At 38.9% G+C, this 7,733-nt stretch overlaps 2 annotated features.

Moving 5' to 3' along the window:
- Positions 30–79: an enhancer, noted in NCBI's record as "active region_17034". NCBI's record gives its function as "activates an Ori minimal core promoter by ATAC-STARR-seq in GM12878 lymphoblastoid cells {active_cell/tissue: GM12878}" and the evidence as "EXISTENCE:reporter gene assay evidence [ECO:0000049][PMID:35858748]".
- Positions 3,257–3,436: an enhancer, noted in NCBI's record as "active region_17033". NCBI's record gives its function as "activates an Ori minimal core promoter by ATAC-STARR-seq in GM12878 lymphoblastoid cells {active_cell/tissue: GM12878}" and the evidence as "EXISTENCE:reporter gene assay evidence [ECO:0000049][PMID:35858748]".

The following is a 7,733-nucleotide window of genomic DNA, read 5'->3' as shown; positions in this document are numbered from 1 at the left end:
TATGTGATGCGTATGTCTCTATGTGCTTGGGTGTCGAGCATATGGGAACAATAATGCAAGGGGGTTGCTTGAAGAGATTGGATGAGAAAAGTTGGAAAAATTCTGGGTAATCAGGATGTTGCTGCAGTTATACCTACTTCTTGCTTTCAGTTGTACCTACTTTTTGCGTTCTCATTAATGAAACGTCAAAGGATTGATTTGCATAGGGCTCTGCAAATGCACTGCGGTGGGAAGGTTTAATTCCTGTTGATCCATAGCATGCCCTGATATTGGTCTCATTAGAACCAGAACCCTGGAAGCTGGAAGTATCCATAAGGGCATGATCCAGAGACAATAGTGACTAACATGTATAAAGCATGATGTATGTGTCAGGCATGATGGTATGTACTTCATATGCATTTTCTCATGTGTCACTAGTAAGGAAGCAGGACTGGAGAAGTTAAGTCAATTGTACAAGATTTTTAAAAAGTCATGGCAAAGCTGGAATTTAGACCCGTATCTATTTGGAAACCACAATCTGGTTCTTAGTCACTGTGCCATAGAGCTATCCTAAGAGAGTAAGATGGGATAGGAAGGGAAGGAAAGAAAGACAAGGAAGAAGCAGAGGACAAGTATGTGATTACTACACTGATATAATTGAATGATGTCATTTCTCCCTCAACTCTCTAGGATGACCAACTTATCCAGGTTTGCCTGAGATCTTGGTTTTAGTACTGAAACGTTCACAACCAAGGAACTCCCTCAGTCTTGGGAAAACCTGGACAGTTGGTCATTCCATTGCTTACCATCTGGAAAATCTGCTACAGATCGTGTGGATTGTTAGAAGATAAAGCCCATCCATTTATGACCTGAAGAACCTGGGTTATTGGGGGATACAGTTGAAATCCATGTCATGGATAGCTGTGCGTTATATATATGTTGTTTGTATGCCTCTCACAGAGTTCTTGAAATTTGGAGTCCATAAAAGACATGTAATAGTTGTTGACTTGATTTATAAAGAGCAAGATAGATTATGAGTAAACATCTGTGGGATGAGCACAACTGCAAGTAATAGGGCTTTAGGTAAAACCTAATCCATGAACAGTAAAGATTTTTTTCAATGTAAAGTTGTTTTCTACATGTATGTGCAATTTCTTTCAACAACACTGTATGATACATTTTGACTAGATTTTTTTTTTATGTTAGAGTCTAGGAATATTCACTTTCTATCAATGCTGTGCTCCTGAATGGTTCTATGAAAAAAAAGTGGATTTTTATAAATCATATTTTCTGTGTATTAGGGATGTGAATTCTTTTCCAGAGCCAATATGGCCCCTCACCTGTTTGGTTTTGCAAATGTCAGTTTTAGATATACAGTTAAGATGCTAGCTGCAAGTGGAAAATACCTATGCCAAACACTTGAGGAGCAATAAAGAGTACTACTTTATTGGTGGATCTGGTTCGGCCCTGATAATAGGTTTAATCTTCAACAAAACAACTTCTTATTTTCTCTGGAAATAGAACTGACTTTCTCTCTTCGTATGTCTGTCTCTTTCTCCCTAATCTAAAAACTCCCCTACACAAGCATCTACTTCCTCTTAAGCTTATAAAGTTTCTCAATGCCTCATCTTTCTGATGTGATGTGTTTGGGTTTTGTTTTCTTTTAGAGTTTTCGAAGAACTCCAGGAAGTGGCTGCAGAGCAAAGTAGGATCCTGATACTGGTAAGGAGGCTTCTGCAGTAATGGTCTGGGGGTGACCAAAGTAGTATTGATTACAAGCAAACCTTGAAATATGATCAACCTACAGCTCAGTTCAGCTCAGCTCTCTCCAGTTCCTCCATGGGAGCTTTGTTCTTCCATTTGAAGGGAGTAATTAAGACTGCAGACACCCTCCACAGTAGAAAAAATTTGGTTTCCAGTCACATCAATTTTTGGGACAACCTGTTCCCTCCTCCCAGTTTGTCAAAGGCAAAGGGGAAATCTTGGGATATTTGTGTGTAATAGACACTGCTTGAGACTGAGCAGTCACTCGTCTCTCTCAAGGGTCCTTCCTTGCCTCCCTTTCCCCAAACATTCATATATTTGCTTTAACGACCCCTTCAATTTAAGTCCGGCTGACCCAAGCTGCGGAAGGTTATCTTTCTTTTTTACCTCTCCTTCAGGAGAGAAACAAGGCTGACAAATTTATGGATTTTGGTTATTTCTTTAATAAATTACTCCCTGGGATGTGATTCCAGGAAAAAGATGCTTTAGAGGATAAATGTCTTAGAGAAAGTGGTGACTAGGCAGAATTATGCACTGTGGTGAAAGATACTCCACACTCCACGTTAGGCACTTCTAGGAGACTAGACATTGTCAGAGAAATACCCACAGAAGTGTACATGTGTTGGTAAAATGTCTTCCATGGACATTATAGTCATACATCACCTAATGATGAGAATACGTTCTGAGAAATGCATCATTAGGCGATTTCATCGTTGTGCGAACATTAGAATGCATTTACACAAACCTACGTGATACAGCCTTCAACACACCTAGGCTGTGTCATCTAGCCAATTGCTCCTGGGCTGGTTACAAACCTGTGCAGTATGTTACTGTACTGAACATTGTAGGCAATTGTAACACAATAGTAAGTATTTGTGTATCTAAACACAGAGAAGGTACAGTAAAACATGGTGTTATAATCACATGTGGTCTATCATTGACCTAAACAGCATTATGCAGTGCATGACTATACTTTAGGATAAAGAGAGAAACACTTTTTTTTTCTCTACCATTCCTGCTTGTTTAGTGTTTCAAACAGAACAAATAGTGCTGAAACAACCTGGAGAACTTGTCAGTCATTTTTGAGTATCTAAAATATTTTTTAGGAGAACAGTTCCCGCCACTTCTTTTTATGACATTCTTTTTTTTCTGTTGAGGGAACAGGAAGCAATGCCTTTGAGTATTTCATAGGGTGTGGAAGGAGAAAGGAGTCTTTCTGTTGTGCTACAATTCCTCATTTTTCGAGATAAGGAAACTGAGTCCAAGAAAAGTAAAGGAAGTCACCATAGATCCTACAGTGCGTTTGCACGCATGACCCAGGCCAAAGCTCAGTTTCCCTTTTTGGCGCTCTATAATTACATGGGAATTACCTTCAGATGATGTGTTTCAAGCCCTGGAACCACATGGATCAGCCCCTCCCTCTCCCTGTGCTATAGCTCATTGCTCACCTGTGCTTTGTTCTGTGCTGGCCCCGATATAGTTGGTTTGCCAAGCTGCCCCTGCGCTACTCAGAGAGCATTAGTCACGAGCTCCTGTCTCAAGGGCACTGATTCATTTCTAGACGTGATTGCATCAGTGTGCATGTGTGTCCTTTGTGAGAGATATGAGTCCATGTTGCATGTGTGGGAGTTTGCCAGAATTACAACCTTCTGCCCCTTCCTTGCCATGGCTAAAGAATAAAGCAAAGAAGAAAGAGACATCCACTTGGGGCTTTTTACAGACTAGAGGTCCTGTTTTCTTAAAGGTTATAAATGCTGCTGTAGGAAATGTTAAGAATTAAAATCATGATTACATTAGGCATCTGCTTTGCTTTCCGGTGATCCTAACTAGCATTTGGAGTCAGTGAATAAAGTGAAGGCGGCATTTTAACTGTCTCCTTGCAAAAGTGGCTGGGCAAGGATACTCAGGCTTGTTGGGAAAGTGCATAGAGATCTCAAGATAAAAGGTTTTACTTGAGGGAAAGGTTATTGTTATTATTTTGAACTTTCAGAGTGGTTTCCTTTTTGCATATTTATGATATTAATATAATCTTAATAGAAGGCTTAATGTGCAAGTTGCTAAGCACATTGCCCAATGGAAAAAAATAAATTATACAACTACTGCAATGATAAGGCAGTTTTCTACTACATTTAATTATCTCTTTCTCAAATGGAGAGACTGCAGAAATCTTAAAAGCATACTGGAAAAGTTTCAATAATAAAATAGTCTAATTTTAAGATTTAAGTTTCAGGTAAATACCAAGTGATACAGGCCTTTACAAAATATAAAATAAAATAAAGTGAGATGAAAAATTTTCATGATTGTTTGATATCTCTTACTACTGGAGAAACTGGATGTTGAAATGGACAAGACTGAAAACAAACAGATATATTCTTCAAAACAGTGTGTGAAAGAAGCAAAGGATTTGGAGCTCTTTAATGAAATAAATCTGAATTTGGCCTAAACCTATTTTAGCACTAGGCTTTGATGTAGTTTTGCACTGTACATAACTTAAACGGAAAAGTGTGGGCACCATTCTTCTTAAATAGTTGAAACTGTGGCTTTGGCCCTGTAGATCATGTTTTATCAATTCATAAGAAACAGAGATGAGACCCACTGTGTTATTGGATTGAGGTATATTGTATAAGCAGTTTCCTGCTATGTAGGTCAGTTTCTTAACAATCATGTGAATTGATTCAGCTACGTATTTACAATCTCCAGCTTTTGCAAGGTCCTCATGGCAGCCCATATCCTATGCTTCTTTATTCCAAGAGAATGTTAAAAATTTTCACCATTCTCACTCTGAACAACCTTACATTTGGCTCATGATATTACTTTCTAATTCACAGAAAGAAGTATAGCTTGTCAGGGAGGAACTCCCTCAATTTCTCCCTTCCCACCCCAGAAACACTGACAGCCATACCCCTCCTTTCTTCCTTCTTTCCCTTCAAAATCCTCCTGTGTCCAGATCTGGCCCCTCCACCTGTGCTTTGGGCTACATCACTCCCACTCCCATCTCTTCAGGAGGTTTGCTCTTTGTATTCAGTGTTTTCAATCACTCTTTCTCTATTGCTTTCTTGTTCTCAGCACATAAACATACTTAATTCTCTCCCATCTTAAACATATTTATATGCATTTTCCTTAACCTAGGGTATCCTAGCTACTATCAAGTCTCCTCTCCACGTACACACAGCATAGTTTATACTTATTACTTCTACTCCCTTATCTTTCATTTATTACTCAATTTAGTCCCATCTTACTTCCACCCCTACCACTCCCCAGGAAATGCTCTCACCAAGGCCATCCAGCATCTCGTAAACTCTAAGTTCAACAGCCTTTTGTTAGGCTTCAGATGGCTTGACTTTAAGGTAAATACTTCAGTCATCTTTGACTCCTCCCTTTCTCTCACTTCCCACATCTGGTCCCACAGCAAATTGTGTCAGCTTTACTTTGAAAATCTGTCTGGAGTTTAACTACTTCTCACCATCCCACTGCCACCTGGTCCAAGTTACTATCATTCTTGCCTGAATTACTGCAATGGTTTCTTAACTTGTCTCACTGCTTCTGCCCTCACCCTCCTCCACCCTGTTATCAACCCACAACCAAAGTTGAGGGCTTAAATTAGATAATGCTATTTCCTCTCCTAACACCCTCCAATAACTTCCCATCTCAGAGTAAAAGCTAAAGTTCTGACTATAACGCACAGGGTTCTACATGATCCTCCCCTTCTGCCTGTTTTCATCTTCTGTTATTCCTCTACTTCCCCAGAGCCAGGACTAGCTCAAGGCCAGAGAGATGCCTAGGGTGCGAGATGAAAGAATTAAGAAGGTGCTTACTCTCAGGGGTCGGCTGCACTATCAACAACTTCTTAAAATCGCGCTTCTTGACGTTCTCCTTTGCTTGCTTCTGTTGCCCGGTTTTCCTTCAGCAACTTTGACTTTCTCCTTAATTCCACATCTCCCACCCTCATCTAAGCAGCATGGTGTAGTCATGGTATTGTTAGATTTTTGCAGTGCAGATACAGAGTTATATTGCTTGAGTTCACCTTTTGCTTCTAGAACCATGTGGCCACAGATAAATTATTTAAACTTTCTAAGCCTCAGTTTCCCCATTTGCAAAATTTTAATCATACTGCCTACCCCATAGTGTTGTTATGAAATTTAAATAAGTTTAAATTAAATCACATAAGCATTTAGTGCAATACTAAGCACATAGTAAATGTATAATAAACATTATAATTAGTAATTATTTTTAGTAGTATTAATATTACTCTTGTACCTGTCCCCTTAAAGCCCAACATCCTCTCTGTTAAGCCATTTGAGTTTTTCCAGAACAACTGCAAAATAAGAATTCCTGGTACATAAGTGAGTAATTTTGTCTCTAAAAGGTAGAGAAGAGAATAGCATATTTTACGTTTCCTTTTTTTGTGGGAAAAATGTTACAGATCACACTTTTGTCAAGAAGCCAAAGAACAAAGTTGATTAAAGCATTATGCCTGGAAATAAAGGGGAACAGGACATCAGCAAAATTCTTTTTATCCATTCACACATTGAAGACATGTAAGATCAATGACACACAAAATGGAAGAGAAATCTTAATCACACGTGTGAAGACTAGCAGGTATTTTTTTCCTGTGCACATCAACGGGCTGTATTGTGGCATATACATGAAAGGGTGAAGTGCTTGATGTCTTTAGTTTATGTTTTCCTAAAACTCCATGCTACTAGGAGAGAGGATTTTGTTTAATTAACAATTATTTCAAGAGTCATACTGTGAGATGCAATGTTAGGATGGATACTGGGGGAGCACTAGCAGTGGGTTCAGCAAGGAACTAGGAGATCCTTCTGCCTGGAATACTCTCTCCCCAGATTTTATCATGACCATCTCCTTCTTGCCGCTAAGGTACCAGTTCCCTAATCAATCAGAGTCAGAACTCTCTGACTCATTTCTCTGTTTTGTTTTTTCTCAGACCTTATTGCCCTGAAATTATTTTGTTTACTTTTTTGCTTTCTTGTTTACCATCTGTCTCCTTTCTCCATGAATATAAGTTCCATGTGAACATGAGACTTCTTTGTCCCTAGAATCTGTAATAGTGCCTGGCTCTTGAAGACGTACAGTCAATGTTTGCTGAATAAAATAAGTCATACTTGGATACCAAAGCACTCATAACTTTATTCCCAGAGAATAACTGGTGATTGACAATATGCTTCCTTAACTTGATTGTGTTGAAAGAAATAGTTAAAATTGTGAATATGACAAAGCCACAGCCAGATGTTGTGATTTCAAGACACTGTGAAAAAAAATATTTGTTTACCCTATAAAGGTCCACAGGATACCAAGCAGAAGGTCTCATACAAGTGTTGAAATGAGGGAAGAAGTGGAATCAGTTTTTTAAAAATTAATTAAGTAATACAAACAAGCACCCAGAGAGAACAACGCAGTGAGCATCCATAGCTGCAGCTTCATCAGGCTTCCATGTAGCTTCACCAAGAGTTTATGCGCCATAAGTACCCTCAGGCTTTTAAAAAGTGTTATAATATTTCAGAGTCAGTTAAAGGACCCTATAAATTCCTCCCAGATCCTATTTTCTTTCCTCCTCTTTCAGAATTTACCACTATACCAGAGAGTTAGAGCTCGCTAAAAAATCGAAGTTGGGGTTGTATGAAATTTTGGCCAGAGAAATATGAATTGAAACCACTTTTGGATCAAGGCATTCAGAGCAAGGGTGGTCACCCGCCTCCTTCTCTTATGTGGTGCATCTTGCAGGCCATGTGCCCCAAATGTCCGGATACAAGCGCCACTTGACTCATATCACACTCACATCAGATGAGGAATATGTCTTTATAAGCCAATGGGATTTTGGGATGTGGTTATTGACACTCCATAGCCTATTCTCTCCTGAGTAACATAGACATAACTGCTCATTTGGGTGTTTATTATTTACTGTTTTAATAACATTGCTGCATGTATATGATGTACAGATAATATTCAGGTTATTGTAATGTTTTAAA

Source organism: Homo sapiens, chromosome 2 (assembly GCF_000001405.40).
Source record: "Homo sapiens chromosome 2, GRCh38.p14 Primary Assembly".
Taxonomy (NCBI): domain Eukaryota; kingdom Metazoa; phylum Chordata; class Mammalia; order Primates; family Hominidae; genus Homo; species Homo sapiens.
This window is presented reverse-complemented; position numbering and strand designations above follow the sequence as displayed.